The sequence below is a fragment of the Homo sapiens genome, chromosome 6 (assembly GCF_000001405.40).
Source record: "Homo sapiens chromosome 6, GRCh38.p14 Primary Assembly".
Classification (NCBI taxonomy): domain Eukaryota; kingdom Metazoa; phylum Chordata; class Mammalia; order Primates; family Hominidae; genus Homo; species Homo sapiens.
The window spans coordinates 45,556,694-45,577,427 of record NC_000006.12 but is presented as its reverse complement, the minus strand read 5'-3'; the positions used below and the strand labels follow the sequence as shown (position 1 = coordinate 45,577,427).

Below are 20,734 nucleotides of genomic sequence, written 5' to 3'. Positions count from 1 at the left end.
TATACACAGGGGACTAGCCATTTGATACCATCTGTTTCTCACACACATCCATGAGGGAAGAATCATTCCCATTTAACAGACAATGTAACTGGGGCTGAATATAGCTCAGCGACTTGCCCCAGGCCCACCAGGAAGTGGATAAAGCCGTGCTCAACCCAGCACTTCTTCAAAGCCTTATTCTTTGTCTGCCACACTGACCCGCGCTGATTCCTTCTGGTCAGCCAAGAATGGCACAGGAGTGGGCTGGTAACATGTGAGCATGTGCAGCTGAACTGGAAGGTGGCCAGGAGCTGAAGTAGCAGAGGGCAGAGCTGCATTTCAAGAGGAGGCAGCAGGGCATCCCGGCCAGGAAGCCTCACAGGCAGCCAGGTGGGTTGCCAAAAGAGGCTGCTCCCTTGGTGTTCTGGACCAGCTTCTGACCCTTAGGCGTGGAAGTGTCTCAAATGAGCTCCAGGGGTCCTGTGTGACCAAAGGAGCTTAATTGCAAAGGCACCAGCTATTGTGACAGAATTTTTGAGACGATAACTTTCAACAAGTTCCTGGACTGAGAGGGCTGGCCGTAAAGTGGGCGTGGTCTATGGGCTGTCATAGTTACCGTCTTCTGTGACGTATCAAAAGGGCATTGTTGATGCTCTCATTTCCACCATTTGATACCATCTGTTTCTCACACACATCCATGAGGGAAGAATCATTCCCATTTAACAGACAATGTAACTGGGCCTGAATATAGCTCAGCGACTTGCCCCAGGCCCACCAGGAAGTGGATAAAGCCATGCTCAACCCAGCACTTCTTCTCTCTACCTTCCACCGATCCTGCCTGCTCATCTTCCCTCCTTGGTGAAGGCATGTGTGCTGTGCTCTGCTTAACTAATTTCCCTCAGATATTCGCATTTCTGTCTTTACAATTTGGCATCCCAGTGAGGTTTCCCTTTGTATATTTTCCGGTTCCTATATTCCCATTATTCAGGTATCATCACTCAATAACCATTTGACAGCAGTAATGCTTTTCACATGGAAAGAATTGGGTTTTTATTGATGGCAAATGTTGTGATGAACTTTCATGCCCACTTGGAGCCGGAGCACTTTTTTATAGAATGAACCACAATGAGAAGCGTTTCCAAGAAATGTCTTTGGAGTGTGGACTGAGATGTACGTTTAGGAACAGGTCCTGTGGCCAGAGTGGGGAGAGAGGGGGCTTCCCATTGTCAAAATCTCATCAATCAAAATGTATAATAGCAACATTATTAATAACCCTATAGTTGCATTGCACTTGGTGCTCTTCCAAGCACTTCCCTAGAATCCTAAAATGAAGGCAGGGCAGATATTATATCCATGTTACAGGTTAAACAACATTGTAACAGGACTGATAACACCATGAATGAGAAGTCATTTGATCAATGGGTAAGTGTCTCATGAGAAAGAGACTTTTAGTAGGCCTGAAATCTGTCTTTGGGGGTCATAGATGCTCTCTGTAGGAGTCCTTCCAAGGCTAAACTCTTATCAAGATCCCTTTTGTCCAGTCCAAATATAAAAGCATGGCCACTATGTCCAGGCATGGTGCTCCACCTGCAATGAAATTAAGCATCCTGACACCTAATCCAGATACAGTGAGGAACCAGGAATTATTTCACAACATATGCCATTGGCACATGTTATGGCAAACAGAATGTGAATGCCGTGTATCGACTTCCCAGGCTAGGCTGGAAACACTATGGACAAAATACACAGGGCATTCTGCACTGGATCTAACAAAAGAATGGCAAATGCTGTGTGATGGAGGTGGTGATGCTAATGAATCACATCTGCATTACCAAATAGGCTAGTTTGGGTCCTAGGCCACCCCTGTACTCCTCAGAAGCCAGTCTTGGCACTTGCCTTGGTGAAAAAGAGAATTAAGCAATTAGACAGGAACTTGCAAACCAGCTAGGACTACCACCATCACCATTTTGTTAATATGGAAGATAAAGCCTCAAGACTGAAGAGACTTGCCCTAGTAGCAGGATTAGCCAGGGCAGAGTGGCGCTAAGAATGCAGGCCCCTGGCAGAGAATGCCACCCAGCCTCCCACATTGAGTCAAGAGATTTTCTAACTCATCATGACATCTCTTCTTCATCCTTAACCCGGAATTACCCTTATTGGTGGTCTGCAGCTGGTAATTAGGGACTCAGCAGTCTGAGTTAAGAAGAGGATGCCTTTCCTACATATTTGGCTTCTCCATGCTCCTCCCATCCTCACTACTATTGCATAGTGCAGCAGGTGTCCATGCCCTTCATTGTGAGGAAGCACCTGCCCTTACGGAAAGCTCCCTGAACAGCAGGTTGTGCAAGGAGCACTGTGAGGCTGGTATGAACCCACAGGATGTTGTAACTCAATAGGGGAATGCATGATCCACATGCACCTGGCACACCCCAGCTGGCTCACCATGGCCTGTGTCCTGATAGCTCAGTCTCAGGCTCATACATGTTCCAAACACACCAGATTACCCAGGAGTGTGCCTAGAGGAAAGGTGCTTTTTTTTTCTAAGCCACCTGCTTCCATTACCCATGGTTGTCCTTCCCCAGGTCCATAGCCTCATGACTTCTGTCAGTAATTGGTTCAGAATGTAATACTCGGACTCTCTGGAGCTCAGATCTTTTGTCATTTCAAACCTAACCCTCCCTGGCTCATGTTTCAAGGGATGTTTTTCCTGTCCTGCTTGGTTTTCCTGTCTGCTTTTTGCATTTTGGCTGGCTTATGAAATGTCCTATTTCATTCTAAACCAACACGCTGCTCCTATATCAATTCAATTTCAGTCAAAGAATATTGAATAGAGGGCACACCTAGACCGTCATTAGCTTCTATCCATCCTAAGGTTGTAGAAAATTCCATCCAATGGATCTACAGCTAACTGCCCATGCTGCATGCAAGCTTCTTAATTTATATTTTGCTTGGCAAACAAAATAACTCAGGGGACTTTCCTCTTCCTCCATACTTCCCCTCAGAACTCAACCATCTCATGCTCCTACTACCATGGTTGACGAGGAAGCTGAGCCACCAGACAGAGCAGTGGTGACCTACAGAGCCGTGCTTTCATGACCATATGGCCTCTCAGCCGCGGGACTTGCCACACTGTCCCATACAATCCTCTGTCATTTTAGTATCTGTCACTGCCAGGTCTTCTTCACACCAGCTTGTGAGAAAAAATGGTGCATCACTTCTCAATCCTGGTTTTAGTGACATCATATTGATAGCTTGAACTTTGCCATATTTACATCACAGAAATCAGTAAACACCATTAAAAAGGCTTTTGTTTTCTTCCTTTTTTTTTTCTCAGAGAGCCAGTTATTAAACATTTACCAACATGTGCAAGAACGGGTTTCAAGGCCGAGGTGGGCAGATCACAAGGTCAGGACTTTGAGACCAGCCTGGCCAATATGGTGAAACCCCATTTCTACTAAAAATACAAAAAAATTAGCCAGGCGTGGTGATGCATGCCTGTAATCCCAGCTACTCGGTAGGCTGAGGCAGGAGAATTGCTTGAACCCGGGAGGCGGAGGTTTGCAGTGAGCCAAGATCGCGCCACTGCACTCCAGCCTGGCAACAGAGCAAGACTCCGTCTCAAACAAAACACAGCACAACAAAACAAAAAAGAACGAGTTTCATAGTGAGAAACAGCGGAGAAACCAGCTTACCTGGTGGGCCTTGAGTGGCCCCTACAAACTCCAACCTGTTCAAGACTCATTTGCCACGTTGTACCTTCCAGCCAAGGCAATCCCCCCAGCCTGAGCTACTTCCCAGACCAGACCACAGAAGCAAGGCCATGCTCACCGAGGACCCCACTTGTGGACTAGACTTCTGTCCTGCTGTGGCCTCAAAAGCAATAGCCAGGGCCCCATGATGAAGCTGCCATCAGAAGCACAGGTGTGCCTGGCAAGGACACAGGAGGACCACGGCTCCATGCCGATGAGAATGGCAGCTAAGTCTGAAGCTTTCTATGATTTAGATTCCTGGTTGCGAGAGGGAGCCTATAGGAATGGCGAGAAGAGTGAGAACTTTGCAGAGGCAGCAAGGTGAGTTTAAACTGGAAACTATGAAGTTCCTGGGTTTGGGGCTTTCACTTTTTCACCTCAAAGTTCCAGGAGAGCGCTGTTCTAACTCAAGAAAACCCAGGCCAGGTGGACTCCACTATTGTTCCGTGGGTTCCCCTGACAAAGACCCCAACTTCCCTCTCACTCAGCTTCCCATTTTAGGTAAAGGATCTCAAAGGAAGAGTGGTGGGGGGCAGTTCAGAAAGAAAGAAGGAAGAGGATGAGAAACAGAGGATGGAGGTCAACACAGCCAGAAGCAGAGGAGGAAGGCATAGGAAATAACACCTTTGCTCTGGTAACCAGAAGGAAGGAAGAGTTGGGTGGGGCTGGGGAGAGGACAAGGGCAGAGGCAAATGCCACCATGTCACACGTTTCCACCATGAAGGCTTTCTCAGCTCGAATCCACTCTGCACCCTGCAGCCAGATGAACACTGCTTTCCCTGGGCCATTGACAAAAACCTTCAGTGGCTTCCTAGGGCCCCGGTCATTCGCTTCATACCTAAAATCTCCCTTATCTGGCCCCAGTCTCCCTTTTCGAACCAGGCTCCTCTTCTCTTCCCTGGGCCTCTCCTAAAGGGGTCCTATTCTTAGACATCCAAGCCTTTGCACTCACTGAGCTGGGTTTTCTTGAATTAGAACAGTCCTCTCCTGGAACTTGGAGGTGGAAAAGTGAAATACATGAGTGAATGAATGAATGAATGAATGACTTACTCTTAATATATTAATTTGACCCGCAGAGGTCTAGTCTATTCCAAATTAAGAGAGGAAAGAGACATGACAGCTAATGCAATATGGGATCCTTGATCAAATCAGAGAATTTTTGTTAAAGAGCTATGAAGAATATTCTTGAGCTAATTTGAAAATTTTAATATATTGCTGTTTAGTATATTTAATATTATTTTACGTATTAACATATTTTAATATTTAAATAATACACAATATTAATAATAGATAATATTATTTTATTAAAGTTTCTTTGGTGTGATGTCATGTTTTGGAGATGTATATATATAAATATATCTATATAGATATATCTATATAGATATATAGATAGATATACAGATATATAGATATATATAGATATATAGATATATAGATATGTAATGAGTATTTATGCCTAAAGTGTCATGATATCTGAAACTTACTTTAAAGTGGTTGAGGGGGGAAAATAGAGAAAGAAGAGAGAGAGAGATGCAGTGAGATGTTAATTGGTGAATAATCTAGGTAGAGTATTTATTGTAAAATTCTTTCAAATTTTCTGAAAGCTTAAAAGTATTCTAAATAAAAATTTGGATTAAAATTAATATAACAGGCTGGGCTTGGTGACTCATGTCTGAAATCCTAGTGCTTTGGGAGGCCAGTGTGGGAGGATCACTTGAAGCTGGGAGTTTGAGATCAGCCTTGGCAACAAAGCAAGACCCTATCTCTACAAAAAATAATTTTAAATTATTTTAAATTAGCTGAGTGTTGTGGCTTGTACCTATCATCCTAGCTACTTGGGAGGCTGAGGAAAGAGGATCACTTGAACCCAGGAGTTGGAGGCTGCAGTGAGCTAGCATCCTGCCACTGTGCTCACTCCAGCCTGGGTAACAAAGCGAGACCATGTCTCTAAATTAATAATAATAATAAAACAAATAAAGCCTAAAAAAGCTTGTGCCCTCCATCCATTACCACCACGGCTTCCCCAGTCACCTCAGAAGAAAACCTGAAGTCCTTCACAGCCTGCTGCTGGTCCTTCATGTTTCGGCCCTGTCTCCTCCTGACTTCTCTCTCCTACCGCTCCCCACTCTCCCACTACATTCCAGGCACATAAGCCTCCTGATTGTTTCTTGAGCCAAGTGTGGGCATTATACCCGGGGAAACAGACAATAAATATATAATCAGATAAAGAACATAAGATTAGTTAGTGCAAGAAGAAAAACAGAGCATGTGCCTGCCCCAGGGCCCTCACACTCATGGCTCCTGTGGCTTGGCCCTGTTTCTCCTACAGTTACAGCTCACTTTCTCACTTTCTTCAGGTTCCCATTAAGTGTGCCCACTTCAGAAAGCTCTTTCCTAACAGCCCTATCTAAAACAACATCGCCACCCACTCCTTGCCCTTTCTTTGCTTTTCGCTTATGCAAGGCACTTATCAAAACTTGATATGATGTTGTTTATTTCATTATGAATTTACTGTTTATCTGCCTTTGTTATTGTCTCTAGTGTCTAGAACAGTGGATGGGACATATTTCACATGAAATACATGAATGAATGAATGAATGAATGAATGACTTATTCTTTATATATTAATTTGACACATATCGTACCTGACTAGGTATTGTTGGTTACCTTTCCATGTACTGGATATTTATCCTCCATCACACCTAGCTATGGTAAATTACTTTTGATTTAGGCCAGGCATGTTGGCTCACTGTCTGTAATCCCAGCACTTTGGGAGGCTGAGGCGGGCAGATCACTTGAGGTCAGGAGTTCGAGACATGCCTGGCCAATGTGGCGAAACCCCATCTCTAATAAAAATACAAAAATTAGCTGGGCATGGTGGCACATGCCTGTAATCCCAGCTACTCAGAAGGCTGAGGCATGAGACTTGCTTGATCCCAGGAGGCAGAGGTTGCAGTGAGCCGAGGTCACACCACTGCACTCCAGCCTGGATGACAGAGTGACACTCCATCACAAAAAAAAAAAAAAAAAATTACTTTTGATTTAACAATTTTGCCTGAGAATAGTTTCAGGCATCATATACACAAGTTCTCCCTTTGGAGAGTACACGCGAGAGAATCTGCATTGAAGCCCCAGCTCTACCATTTACTGTTTGTAGAACCTTGGCTAAGCTGCTTAACCTCTTGGAACCTTTGTTACTTCACTCATAACCTCATTACCTACTCTACTTTGCAAGGCTATTGCATTAGAATGAAGTTTGTAAACTACAAAGTACTGTTTAAAAAAAAAAGTCTATTATTTTATCTCTGAGAAAGACTTGGAATAAATAAGTAACTCAAGTACCATTAGAAGTATTAATTAAACTAGCAGTAGAACTAGTTATGAAAATGCAATTCTTTCTCGACTTACTCTCTAAAGCAGCACAGTCCAATAATACATTGCATGTGGCTAAAGAGCCCTAGTGTGACCAGCGAACTGCATTTTAAATTTAATTTTGTTAGTTTTATTTAGAGCTGTGCTGCCACATGTGGACAGAGGCTATCTCATTGGACAGCACAACTCTAGATCATCATTTCTTCAAATATGTTTTGCAGAAAACTCCTTGACCCTGACTATGAAGGGATTAGGTTTTGCAAGCATCAAGAAGTCTAGTGATGGAAATATTATAGTTTAATGAAAAAAGTGTGGAATGGAATGAAGACAGGAAGAGGAGAACAGAGGGTGGTGTCCTTGTCCTGTGACAATGCTGATTTTGGAATGGCAAATGAAATCTGCCTCTTTGGAATTCTATCATCCCCTCTTACTGCTCTGTGGCCTTAAAAATGATATTTAAGATCTCTGAGCCTCAGTCTCCTAACTGTAAATTAGGAATCATAAGGCCTACCTCATAGGATTACTGTGAGGATTAAATGAGACTGACTAATGACACAAAGTGACTAACGCAGTGCCCAACACAAAGCAAGCTCTCAGTCCTCTAATTCTCCCCTCCCCACACACTTTTGCTACTCTGGGAACACAGGGAGGTCAGGAACGGCATGGTGAACTTGTGTTTCTTGCCCCAGACCACTTGTTCTGGGGCTGCCTAGCTGTGAGTGGGGCATCCCTCCAGCTGCATGCAGCCTCGAAGTGGCCTGGGCTGGCACACACCCAGTCTCCCTCCCTCCATCCAGGCCTCTTGAATGCCCTGACCTCACCCAGCACTTTGCTCTGAAGATCTCTGAGGGCTTCAAAGGCTCCTCTTTGGATTCAATACAAACGATGTTCCTTCTGGGTATGTACACAGGTTGGGGGAAGGCTAGTGGGTGGGGCCCAACCACCTCCTCCTAATGAAGCCACTGCTCCCTCTTCTCGGCTCTTAGGGAGAGTTCCTTGCACTGCCATTTCCTTTGCTGTTGGTAGAAAAAAATGTAAAGTCTAGTTCATGCCCACACATGTTTCCAGGCGAAAGCTTCCTTTGGTGTCACCTGGGCAGTCCCACTCCAGTTAAAAAGCAGATGGTGGTGAATTCTCTTCTCAGATGTGGCAAATGAAAATCTTAAGCAAACTGCTTAAAACTCTTAACCTCCCTCCCAGGATTACCCAAGATAGTCTCATTTTTAATTACTCTGTATCTAAACCTTCAAAAATGCCCCAAAGATCCAATACATCAATGTCCAAGTCTGATCTCTTAGACTGTCTCTTTTCCGTGGAAGCAGCACCAATCCGGTCAGGCAGTGGATTCTCAGTGTTCCAAAACTTGATCACCATGTGTGACCATTTAACATCATGGCTGCCAATCTTTGACACTCCCACCTTGAGAGATGGGGTCCCCTCTCCTTGAATGTGAGGAGGCTTGTGACTGCTTCGATCCATGGAGTATGGTGAAAGTGACAGACACCACATGACCTCTGAGGCTATGTCATAAAAGGTCACACAGCTCCAGCCAAGTTGGCTGGGACATTTGTTCTCAGAGCCCAAGTTACCATGGAAGAAATCTAACTACCCTGAGACGGCTATCCTGGAGAGGCCACGGAGAGTGTCTTAGCTAAGATTGTCCTTTGACCAGCCCAGTCAGGCACCCAGCATGTGAGTGAAGAAGCCTCAGAAGATTCTAGCCCCCAGCCTTTCAGGTCACCCCCTGCCTTTCAAGGTGGCCAGCTGAGACCACAGATATTTAGGGTGGAGATGAGCCATTCCTAGTGTGCCTGCTCCAATTCCTGATCCACAGAGTCTGTGAGCATAATAAAATGTTGTTCTCTGACACCACTGAGTTTTGGGGTGATTTGTTGTGCAGCAAAACATAACAGGGCCCTGGTATAATGTCTCATAGAACCCAGGCCTCCTGACTCTCATCTCATCTGGACAACTAATTTCCATCAACCGAAATGCCCTGACTCCTTGTCAATGGACCACAAAGTTCCCAGTGCTACTTGTTGATAAGAGGGAGACCAATTTGGACTTGCGTAAAACTTGTCTGGTATAGAAGTGGCAGGCAAGGGTGGAGTGGGGCACAGCCTGGAAGGAGACATATTCTTTTTGAAAAAATAATTCTGGCTTGGTGCAGTGGCTCATGCCTGCAATCCCAGAACTTGCCAAGGTGGGATGATTGCTTGAGGCTAGGAGTTAGAGACCAGCCTGGGCAACACAGTGAGACCCCATCTCTGCAAAAATGTTTAGCCAGGTGTGATGGCATGCACTTGTAGTCCTAGCTACTCAGGAGGCTGAGGTAGGAGGATTGCTTGAACCTAGGAGGTCAAGGCTGCAGTGAGCCATGATCCTGCCACTGCACTCCACCTTGAACAACAGAGCAAGACCCCGTCCCTTAAATAATAAGAATTCTGAACTCTGATCTTTAAAATAATTTTTTTAACTAAAATAGAAAAAAATACAAAGAGGAGTAAGGGCTTACTAATGTGATTTAAGTGGATGGCAATGGCTTTATTCAAAGATTTTCATGTTAAAACTTGTTGGTGTTTTAATTGGTTTTATTTGGTTGTCTGTTTTTTAACGTTTTGCTTTGTTTTTTGAAGCTAGGATTTTCTCTTTGGGTCACCGCGTGTTCTTTGGGGTCATATAAAGTACTCTGCTCAAGAACAAAGGCCAGTGTGGCTATGATGAAAATGCATTGACAGAGGGGCTTCAATGTCTATGGAACAGAAACAAGAGCCCTGGACCAAGAGGAGGAAATGTGGATTCACCAACATGTTGAAAATCATTCTAACATCTCCAGGCCTCAGCGTGGTCATTCACAAATGGAATTCAACAATTTCTAAGGCAACTTTTCTAACATTTTGGAGATAAAAAATTTAATGTTTAGTAAGTGCTTATCCTGTGGCAAGCACCATGCAAGATCCTTTAAATTTTTAATTCTTTAAAAAAAATCCTGAGCAGCACAACTGTGCATTTCTCATATCACCAATGTGTGTATTAGAAAACGGAGGCCCAGTGAGATAGAGTCCCATGGTTGAGAAGTAGAGGGGCAGAATTCTAGAATCAACATTGCCATCCCCAAGAAACGCTGGCTCCCCTCTGCCTCCGCAGCATTTCCCACACCTCATGCCCAGAGGCTTTCACAGTCTGGTTCTTCAGTCTCTAATCCTTCATAGTTAGAAGGGAGGGTCGTAACTGCATTCCTTTGTACTGTCATCAGCTACTTAAAGTGGCAAGAAACAATAGCCTCTTTCTCTGGAGAGTCCCAGCTCTGCTTTCCTGGAAGGGTTGCTCTTTGGACCCTGCTGGATCTCTGAGTGATGGCCAGGGCAGCCCCCAGGTGCACTGGGAAGTTCAGAGGACTCCTGCCACCTAGCACTTCCCTGCAGATCTTGAAACGTAAAGTGATGTGAGTCCCTATTTCCCCCTTACCAAGGCTCCCTCAACTGCCGGTTATTTGACATATACTCAGTCTATTACAGGACTCAAGAAAGCATATAATGACTCCATTCACAAAACACTAAGGACTCATCTTTTCCTGCCAAACACTCACTTTCCTTATCACCATGATGCTTCCTATCCTTGTGTCTTGACGAAGAGGTGTCTGCCTGTGCAGGGATGCCTCATGCCCAAAATCTCTTCTCCTTGTACACCTGTTACTGATGCTGGAACCCTGAAATAATCACCAGATGTTCACTAAGTCCCACTGCAATCAGCGCTGAGAGGGATCATTGAGAACCATGATATCTAAGAGGAATCATTGCAAAGTGATTAAGATCATGGGCTTCCAAGTCAGTCACGATGGGTTTCAACTATTAATACATGTAATAGTTTAAAGACAGCTCTAAATTTGTTGCCTCTCCGCTTATTCCTCTCTCCTTGATTCTGGGCAGGTCCCTGTAACTAGCTTTGACAAAGAGAACACAGTGGAAGTGATCCTGCCCACCCCTTTTCCAAGGTAGACCTTAAAAGACCTGTAGCTTCCACTATTGTGCCTCCTAGAAGCCTGTACCATGTAAGAATTCTAACTACCATGGGAACATCATGCTGTGAGGAAGCCCAAGCTAGCCATTTGGGAGAGAGGAAGGCCACGTAGAGAAGCACCAAGAAACTAGACATGTTTGTGAAGCCTACTTGAACTTTCCAGCCCAACTCCAGCTGAATGCATCCAAGTGAATGGCCCCAGCTGATCCCCTGTGGAGCAGAACCACCCTGCTGACTCCTGACTGAATCCCTGATCCACAGAATTGTGAGCAATAATATGACTGTTGTTCTAAATCACAAAGTTGAGGCATAATTTGTTAATCAGCAATAGATAACTGAAACAGAGTATAAGAGGATTGGAGGACCAAACTCACAGTGCAGGCTACATATACTATCACTGAGCAATTGGGTCAGAATGGCAAGGAGATCTTCATGGAGGAGGTGGGAAATGTTTTGCAGGAAGGGATGGAGTTGGATGAGTGAAAGGACAAGGTATGCAGGAGAAAATTCTACAAGAGCTAACCACTCCATAGGCCTCTGGGGACATGCCCTGAACACTGACAGGACTTCACAATTATTTCTATCACAGCCACCTAACTGCCTCAATACCGGGGAGTCTGCCTGGGTTTGGCCCAAAGTAGATTTCACCAAAGTCCTGCTTTATCTTCACAACTCCTATGAATTTTATATTGCATTTCATAATTTAGTCATCTACATTTTAATTTTAAAAATGGTTGAAATTACTTACCAATTACATTGTTTAACTTCTCCCCACCCATCCCAATCTCTTCAGTAAAACAGATGCCCCATGAAGAAGGGTCACCATGAGACCTGGGCACTGTGTGCCCCAGAACATGTGACCTCAAGGGGGTCAGAGACTTGGGTTTTTCCTTTCAGGATCTATGCACAGATCTTTTTTAGTGCCATAACTGGCCTCTGGGTTCCCCACTCCTGTCTCAGTCCCAACTTTAAGCTACCCTTAGATTCACAAGGAACCTGACTCAGGAGAGACCACCTCCTGACCCTGCCCAGAGGCAGCTTAAAAACAACCTAGTTCTTCAGTCTCTGGACCATGCTCCTGGCCTCCTCCCACAGAGCATTTGGAAAGCAACCCAAGGCAATGTTCAGTCTTCCCTGAACATACTCGAATACCCCTCAAACCTCTTTTTTTCTTAAACAGGCAACTCACATATGCATCTATAACCTGTATAGATACGTTGACACTTGGAAGCAAAATAGAGGAAAGCTTTCATTATCATTTGCCATTTGAAAATGATTATATGGGGGGATGATGGGTATTGAAGGAGACAGCTTACAGGTAGCATCCCGGGGAGACCTCTCTCTCAAGACCTGGGTGAGACTACACTACACTACCTCCCGGCTTCCAGAATGGGGACTGCTTGGTGCCAGACCTGGATGCCTACCAACACAAATTAAAGGAATAAGACACCTCCTAGATGGGAAGGCAGGACACTCAAGAGTGAGAATGGTGAGAACTTTAAAGGGATCATCACCTCTGCAGGAGACCAAAAATCTGCCCCAGAAAGAGCAGCTACCCCAACAGATGTTTCCCTCACATTCAGAAAGTCTTTGATTCTGTGTTACCATGAGACTCCAGACTCTGTCTCTCCCACATCCCACCCCGATCCCAGCCCAGGACCTCTGCTGCTCCCCATGAGAAATACTCCCTCTCTCCTCTCAGTCCCATCCAGAAATACAGCCATGCCTTATTTAAAGTTGTGAATCCCTAACTGGACACTCTGTGGAAACCAAGCTGATCAGGTCAACTTATATTAAAAAATGGATGTGGAGGTGAGACTAGGAAGCAACTGCTTAATGGGCACGAGGTTTTCTTTTAGGGTGATAAAAATGTTTTGGAACTAGACAGAGGTGGTGGTTGAACAACATTGAGAGTGTACTAAATGCCACTGAATCATTCACTTAAAAATGATTAATTTTATGTTATGTGAATTTCAACTCAATTTTTTTTAAATCTCCCGATAAAGAGTCAATCCTTCTAGAATCCTATAAACCAACACACATTTAACTCTGGAGCTTCGTCTCCTCATCTGTTAATGGGAGGTTGTGGGAGAAGAAAGAGTTCTGACCCCTATGATTGTTCTAATTCCTATAGCAGGACAAGGACTCCAGATGATCCCAGGACAGGACAGAGAGAAAATAAGATCAGCAAGCTGCCAGTAGGCTAAAATTAACTGACCCTCCACAATCTGGATTTGGCAAGTGACTGAACTTCTCTTATGTTCCTCCTCTGTGAGCTCAAACATATCATATGAAACTCTTGAGAGCAGCCCATAAAAATGATTCTAAGACTCAGGCCAAATCTGGAGAGCTATATATTTGAATCCTATAACTTCATTTCTCTCTCAAACATGAGTTCACAGTCTGCAATAAGTCCCAACATTAGGCGACGCAGGATTTTTCTTAATACATGATTATAATCTTCAAAAGCCCTTGCCGATACAAAATAAAGAGAAAAGAAGATTCCGGGAGCAGGCACCCTACAAATTTTAAAAGAAAATGAAAGGGGTCCCATCTGGTACTTTAACAAGTTGATTTGATACTTAGAAAATGATCCTTTTGGCCAAAGAATATTTTTACTTCGTGTGTCTATATAAATACACTTTTTTTTTTATAGAAAGTACATCACTAGTCTCTAAAACCAAACGTGGTTTTGATTGAACCAGACTTACATTTATTTCTGAAGCTCGTTTGCTAACAATAGAACTGGCTTTCCCATTTGCCAAGATCAATGTTGACCTGTTTTCACCTAAATTTTATAGATGTCAGAAAAAGAAACTGTTCACTATTCAGTGGCATACCCTGGCCTTTCTCAGCCACACTTGCTTGCATTTTTGCAGCTCCTTTAAATTCCCCTTGTCACAAAAACTAACAATAAGGTCAAGTATTTCAGTAAGAAATATTGAATTATTATCCAACGTTGTCAAGCAGCCAAGAAGCTACGAAAGCTAACCACGAACTGTAGAAGAGAGCAGCTTGACCTCAGGCCTCCCAGACCTGCCTCCATTGCACGGGGAAGGATTTTTGGCAGTGGGGGGCACCAGAAGGGTTGGGGAGGAAGGGGGGAGGGTGGATGAGTAGAATGAGAACTGGACGGCTCACAATCACGTCCAGGCTCTCGTCCCTCAGGAGTGTCTTGTTGCACTCATTTGCTGCTGCAAAGAGCCAGCTTTGATTTTTCTTGGAGAGGGCTCCAGGCACCCTAACATCTCAGCTATGCCAACACCATGAAGCTGCCGAGCTCTCCTGATTTCCTGGCCATATCCCTGTCCATCAAGGCTAATTTCTGTGACAACATAAACTTCACTGTGTAGCCAATAAACTCAAACCCGATGGAACTTGATGTGGCCAGGAAGGAGAATGACAAACGGGCAAGATGTCAGGGCTGGAAATATAACTCATTTCGCCAGCCAGTGGTTTGGGAGGGGTATAGATGAATTAACATGTGTGTGCATGAGTGTGTTTTATTTGTTCTAATAACTCTAATAAAGATTCCATGAATCAATAAAATAACTCTCACAGAGACAGAAATCAATGCAAGCTCCCAAAATGGGCCTCTGATAGAATCAGAACTCTCTCTCATTTTCACCCTAACCCACAGTGGCTATGGGCTCAGATCCTCTCTTACTTCAAGGGATCTGGGCTGGATGCTTGGGCGCGAGAGAGAAGAATGGCTCTCAACTGGGCGGGGAAGAGTAGCCCGCAAGGAGGCAGCGGCTCCAGGATGGGAAGTGAGGATGCCAAAAAAGCATCCCTAGGAAGGTTCCTGCCTTTCCACGAGGCTATGGGGCTTTGAAGGTAAGGTTTTCATAGTTCCAGAAAACTTCCCTGGAAATGCAAATTCACCCCTCCAGGATGAGAGTCAGGACAGGTTCATTTTATGAAAGGGGAGGTCCACGGGAAAGGGTTAGCTGATGTGGGCTTAGAGAGAGGGGAGTCCATGTGAAGTCCTCTAGGGGCATGGTGAGCCTCCAAAGGAGAGCTGTGGAGGTGTGGGTAGAGAAGACACCAAGATCCTGCTTTAAAATGTTCCATAGGATCAGTCACAAGCATAGCTCTTGTCAAGCTCTTTGAATGTGTGACCATGCAGAGTGGTCTTACCCCAACCATTTATGCTTGACAACCTTTCCTATTGAAGGCTGAAGGGTCCTTTGTGCCAAAATTATCCCTCACTGCTCTATCAAGACTCTAGTTCACTTGGTAGTAGGTACAGGGTGAGCAATCAGATAAAATACATCCCTGTTCTGTACTGAAAATTTGACATTTTATGCTGTCCTCTCAACATTTTTATATCTATGCTCTCTTTTGTTAAACATTAAAATCTCACATTTTTTCATGTTATCTGTTTTAACAACATAGGTGCTTCTCTAGGTTTTTAATTATTAAATTCTACTATTGACTATGGTTTTCCCAAGTATGACTCCTATCCCACAGAAATTCTGATACTGCCCACCCTACCCCACCACTCCACCCCCTTGCTCATCCTATCCGTGGACGTGTAGTCTGGCATGCTAAAGAATGCTGCAGAGCCTGGGGTGATTCTCTCTTTCTTTCTTCTTTCTTTCTTTTTCTTTCTTTCTTCCTTCCTTCCTTCCTTCTTTCTTTCTCTTTCTTTTCTTTCTTTCTTTCTTTCTTTCTTTCTTTCTTTCTTTCTTTCTTTCTTTCTTTCTCTTTCTTTCTCTCTTTCTCTTTCTTTCTGAAGAGCTACACATGGGAGCTCCATGCTGGCAGTACGTGTCCACTCCCAGGTGCTGCACTGCAGGAACTGACACTAGCTCAGCTTCAGACCCTGAGTGGCAAGGAATTACTCAGGCTTCCAGATCCAGCCCAGATGTCATCTTCCTGCCTTTCCCAGGACTTGCTGCCTCCTTGGGGCCCCCTCTGCCCTTGGTTCATATGGCACCTGCTGCACTGTACAAGTTTATATTTCTTTTTTCTTTTCTTTTTTTTTTTTTTTTTTTTTTGAGAAGGAGTCTCACTCTGTCACCCAGGCTGGAGTGCAGTGGCACAATTTGGCTCACTGCAACCTCTGCCTTCCACATTCAAGTGATTCTCCTGCCTCAGCCTCCTGAGTAGCTGGGACTACAGGCGTGCACCACCACATCTGGCTAATTTTTGTATTTTTAGTAGAGACAGGGTTTCACCACGTTGGCCAGGCTGGCCTCGAACTCCTGACCTCAGGTGATCCACCCGCCTCAGCTTCCCAAAGTGCTGGGATTACAGGCGTGAGCCACCGCACCTGGCTGTGAAGTTTATACTTCTGTCTCTCTGAGCAGATGGTGAGCTTCATGAGGGTGGAGATATATCTCATTCATTTTCATTTCCATCATTTCTAGTAAGTGTTTAATCAATATTTTTGAATGAATACAAATGTAACCCCTCCCTTAAGATCAGACTAGAGTTGGGGACTGAAGCAAAGCAATGACAATTATTTTCTCAAGCAAGGGATGGGGTGAAGCCACAAATTCCTCCTCCTCTTAGCTTTCCACCTTCCTCTGCCCTGTAAATGACTTGACACTTATGTCTGAGAATCACTTGGCACAATAATGGCTGTGTCTATCATTAAACAGGGGTCAGATGAACTATGTTATAAGTCTTATAACACTATACTTAATACCTGTGTGCTCTATCATCACCCCATCAGAATGGTTTTCCCCTTCTACTTTTTAAATTGAAGGGTGATATGGTTTGGCTGTGTCTCCACCCAAATCTCATTTTGAATTCCCACGTGTTGTGGGAGGGATCCGGTGGAAGGTAATTGAATCATAGGGGAAAATCTTTCCCATGCTGTTCTCATGATAGTGAATAAGTCTCATGAGATCTGATGGTTTTAAAAAGAGGAGTTCCCCTGCACAAGCTCTCTCTTTGCCTGCCACCAACCATGTAAGATATGATTTGCTCCTCCTTGCCTTCCACCATGATTGTGAGGCCTCCCCAGCCACGTGGAACTGTGAGTCCAATTAGACCTCTTTCTTTTGTAGATTGCCCAGTCTTGGGTATGTCTTTGTCAGCAGTGTGAAAATGGACTAATACAAAGGGATATTGGTTATAGGTAACTTAGATAGCAAGCAGATAAAAGGTACAATTGAGATGACAAGCCCTTTTTCAAGAATAGCTGTTATGCTTTGATTTGTTTAGGTGGCTAGGACATCATGTTAATGAAGTCAAGACTATGGCCCCATCTCTAGAGGCCAAAGCTTGAAACAGCAAATAGAAAGACCTTTCCAAGCCACTACCCTTAGCATTGATGGCAAGGGTCTGGGTGAGAAAATCCCTCTTGTCCACTAAACGGAAATCAACTTGAAGCATGTTGCCAACAGATATATCAGCTTTCTCCAGGAAGAAATGGCACTGATGCTCCTAGACTGGATTTCTCATCCTCTAAGTCAGGCCTGGTATGCTAACTTCATCTATGTTTTAAATAAAGTAACATATAACAGGTCTTTAATTAATAAGGTTAGCTGGAGCATGGTATGGGATCAGCATGTTGGAAATTAATTTATATAAGAAAGTTTTAATAAATCAGTTTGCCTAAATTTATAACAAATGAAAATAGGTTCATGAAAACTAGGACATTAAAAAAGTAGTTAATGAAAATATAATGCAGAAGGTGCTACTATTATGAAGGAAGGAAATATCTCTTACGGTGAGTGAGTATAGAAACTGCTTGAAATAGATGTCCTGACCCTTGACTTCCAATCATCTGTCTATGGGGTGATCCTTCAAAAGTGATTTGACCTCTCTGGGATTCCATTTCCCCATCCTCTACAAAATGACCATTTTGCCAGTTCTGCAGTAAACAATGGACCCCATTCTCTTTCTTAATGTTAGACAGACTCTAGTCTTTTAAAACTCCCCATAATTTCTCCATTCCAAAAGCCATTCCAAATCTATAGGTAAGAGCTCCATGGTCCTTCAGCAGACCATCTGGCTGGCAATATATTATTGTCCCAAGTTAAAGAGAAGGTCAAGAGAGGTTAAGTGGCTTGTTCAAGGTCATGCATCTAGTTAGTAGGGGTTAAGGATCTGGAACCCAGAACTTTTTGCCACTTTCTGATGTCCCCCTTTCAATACACTGCTCAACCCCTTCAGGGAGAGTTGGCTTCATGGCTGCTACAACAGGGTGGAGAAAATGGAAGAGTAGATTTTCCCTCTTTGACTGTATGAAAATCACCCACTTTTAGAATACCAAACCACCCATATATGTGGTGGGAATGAAAGTCTTGTGTGACTAAATATAGATGCCAAGTACCTTACAAATATTTGAGTGTTTGCTTTAGGAAATGAGAAATGGAAAATGAAACTGGCTATAAACAGAAATCAAAACTGTCTAAATTCTCTCTATAAACTAATTACTACTTTTAATATCTGTTTTTTGCAATCTCAAGAATTCATGAATTTGCTTAAAATAAAGAATGGCATGACAAAAACCTCTTTTACTGAAATGGATTAAGTTGAACAGACATGCTTTCCAATACGCTTCTTAATGACGGCAAGCCTTCCAACATATTGGTCTGCCTATAGTAGCTGTTCAATAAATATTTTCAAAGAGAAGAAAGAAAAGAAGGGAGAGAGTGTGAGAGGGAGAGAGATAATTTCTATTATCTGGACTTTCAGTAAAATATAATATTTTTTTCCATATAGATTTAAGAAAATAGTCTGCAAGATACTTTAAGATACTTGGAGAGAAGCCTACCTATTCATTCAAAGTGATTTAAATCATTTAGGGCAAGAAACGGTCGTGCCCCATCCCTGGGCTCCTCCAGGCTTCTGCACACCAACACAAAGCCTTGCCCAGATCAGGGGTTCCACTTCAGATGTGAGGGAACTGGGTAGTGCCCCTTTGTCAGATTGCAAGGAGGACCCCAGAGCCATTCATAGAAAGGTAAGGGTTGAAGTTGACAGGAATTTCTTGGCTCGGGTCTCTTTCTAGTTAGATGAAGCCAATGCTGCCAAATTAAGTGCAATAATAACATTTTCAGTGACATTGTTCACACAAAACACAACATACCTACATGGAAAACCTTGGAAGAGACTACAGATTGAGGATTGGGATGGGGGTAAGGTCAACATTCTTGTTCTGAAGGTGTTGATGTATTCCATTCATGGTTTACGTGATACGATATCTCCGGGTTCCCTAGGGAAGAAGCCCATAGCAAGCCAATTGCCAAACTTAACCTTAATGAAATGGACTAATGGCTGTTGTAACAGCCTGAACCTTAATGTTCAGTAGAAAAATAGTTTATAAAATATATAGGAAAAAAACCTCTGTCAAAGAGCAACATTTTTAAAAATGTTAAAATAGCATTTTTTAAAAATCTTCCACTTCTGGCTTCAGCTCTATTGTGATTCCAACTAATTGAACATTTTATTTATGCTTTTAAAAACAATCTTAATTATTATCAACAATAATAAAACGTACCATCTAGTTTACATCTATTATGTGCCACACACTCTGCTGGGCATTTTTAGATCTCATTAATTCATTTACTTCTCATAACCTCCATTATACAGATGATACAGAGATTGTGCCCAAAGTTTGAGCTTAGGAACATAGTCTCTGGTATCAAGCAGATCTAGACTTGAGTCTTAATAGCTGTATAACCTTGGACAAGTCTGAACCTCAGTTTTCCTATCAGTAAAATGGGGATAAACACAGTACTAACTTCTTCATAAGTTGCTGGGAAGATTAAGATAAGGCACGTGAAACATTAAGAAAAGTGCCAGGTACATATGTGATCATGCTACTGGTACCAAATCTGAATTTTCCTCAAAAAGACATTAAAACAATGGGCTTCAGTGCCATCCTAAGTAGGGAAGGAGGAAAATCATCTTTGGCTCCCATTCCTTTCCCCCCAGGATGTTCATACTAGTGAGATCAAGGCCAAGTGAACTTCAAGGACAGCTAGGGAGGAAAAAATAGAAAGGATAATGTGCACTTTCTGCATTTCAGGGGAGGATGTGGCAATTGGAGAGAGAAAGTATGAGGGTTTAGGAGGATGATATGAACAGGAAAGGTAATGAAAGGGGTCTTTGGGGAACTTATTTTTGGGGCGAGCTTCTCAACCTCCTCCTAACATCCCCTTCTTCTCTCGCTCACTTTCCTGCAGGCCTTGGAAGCAAAGCCCCCAGGAATGACTGGAAGACAACACTCTGCAGACCCCTTCCACAGGGTACCCCTGCTCTCCAGGAAGGGCCTTCAGGGCAGCATTTGGAGGTGGCATGAGCTAGCAGCGGCGTGCAGCCTGGTCACTGTCTGATCTGGTCAGCCCAGCCGCACAGAACACCACACAGGCTCTGGCAGCTCCCTGGGAAAGAAGAAAGCAGCATCTTGCATGTGTGGCTTATTCTGAAAGGAATAGTATCTGAGGGATTTGATGGACTCTGACAGGGGGAAGAAGGTAGTGAAAAAGATGGAACAAAGATGCCATTTAAAAATACTGGCTCGTGTTCAGGATTTCGCTATTTTTTACTGCAAGGAACAAGTAAAAAAAAAAATCCTCCTATTGATGAGTATTTTTCTACAGTCATTAAAAGTCAAAGGACTCAGGGCTTCCGACTTTCCCTCTTGGGAA

The 20,734-nt window shown here is 43.6% G+C and overlaps 1 long non-coding RNA gene across 1 annotated transcript; it reads left to right on the top strand.

The window, feature by feature from the left end:
• The first annotated feature begins 636 nt into the window (after nucleotides 1-636).
• RUNX2-AS1 (RUNX2 antisense RNA 1) lies at nucleotides 637-12,378 on the top strand. The gene is made up of 4 exons (NR_187177.1): nucleotides 637-1,401; nucleotides 3,314-4,049; nucleotides 9,741-10,022; nucleotides 11,030-12,378. It is a non-coding gene; the product is annotated as an RUNX2 antisense RNA 1 (long non-coding RNA).
• The last annotated feature ends 8,356 nt before the right edge of the window (nucleotides 12,379-20,734 follow it).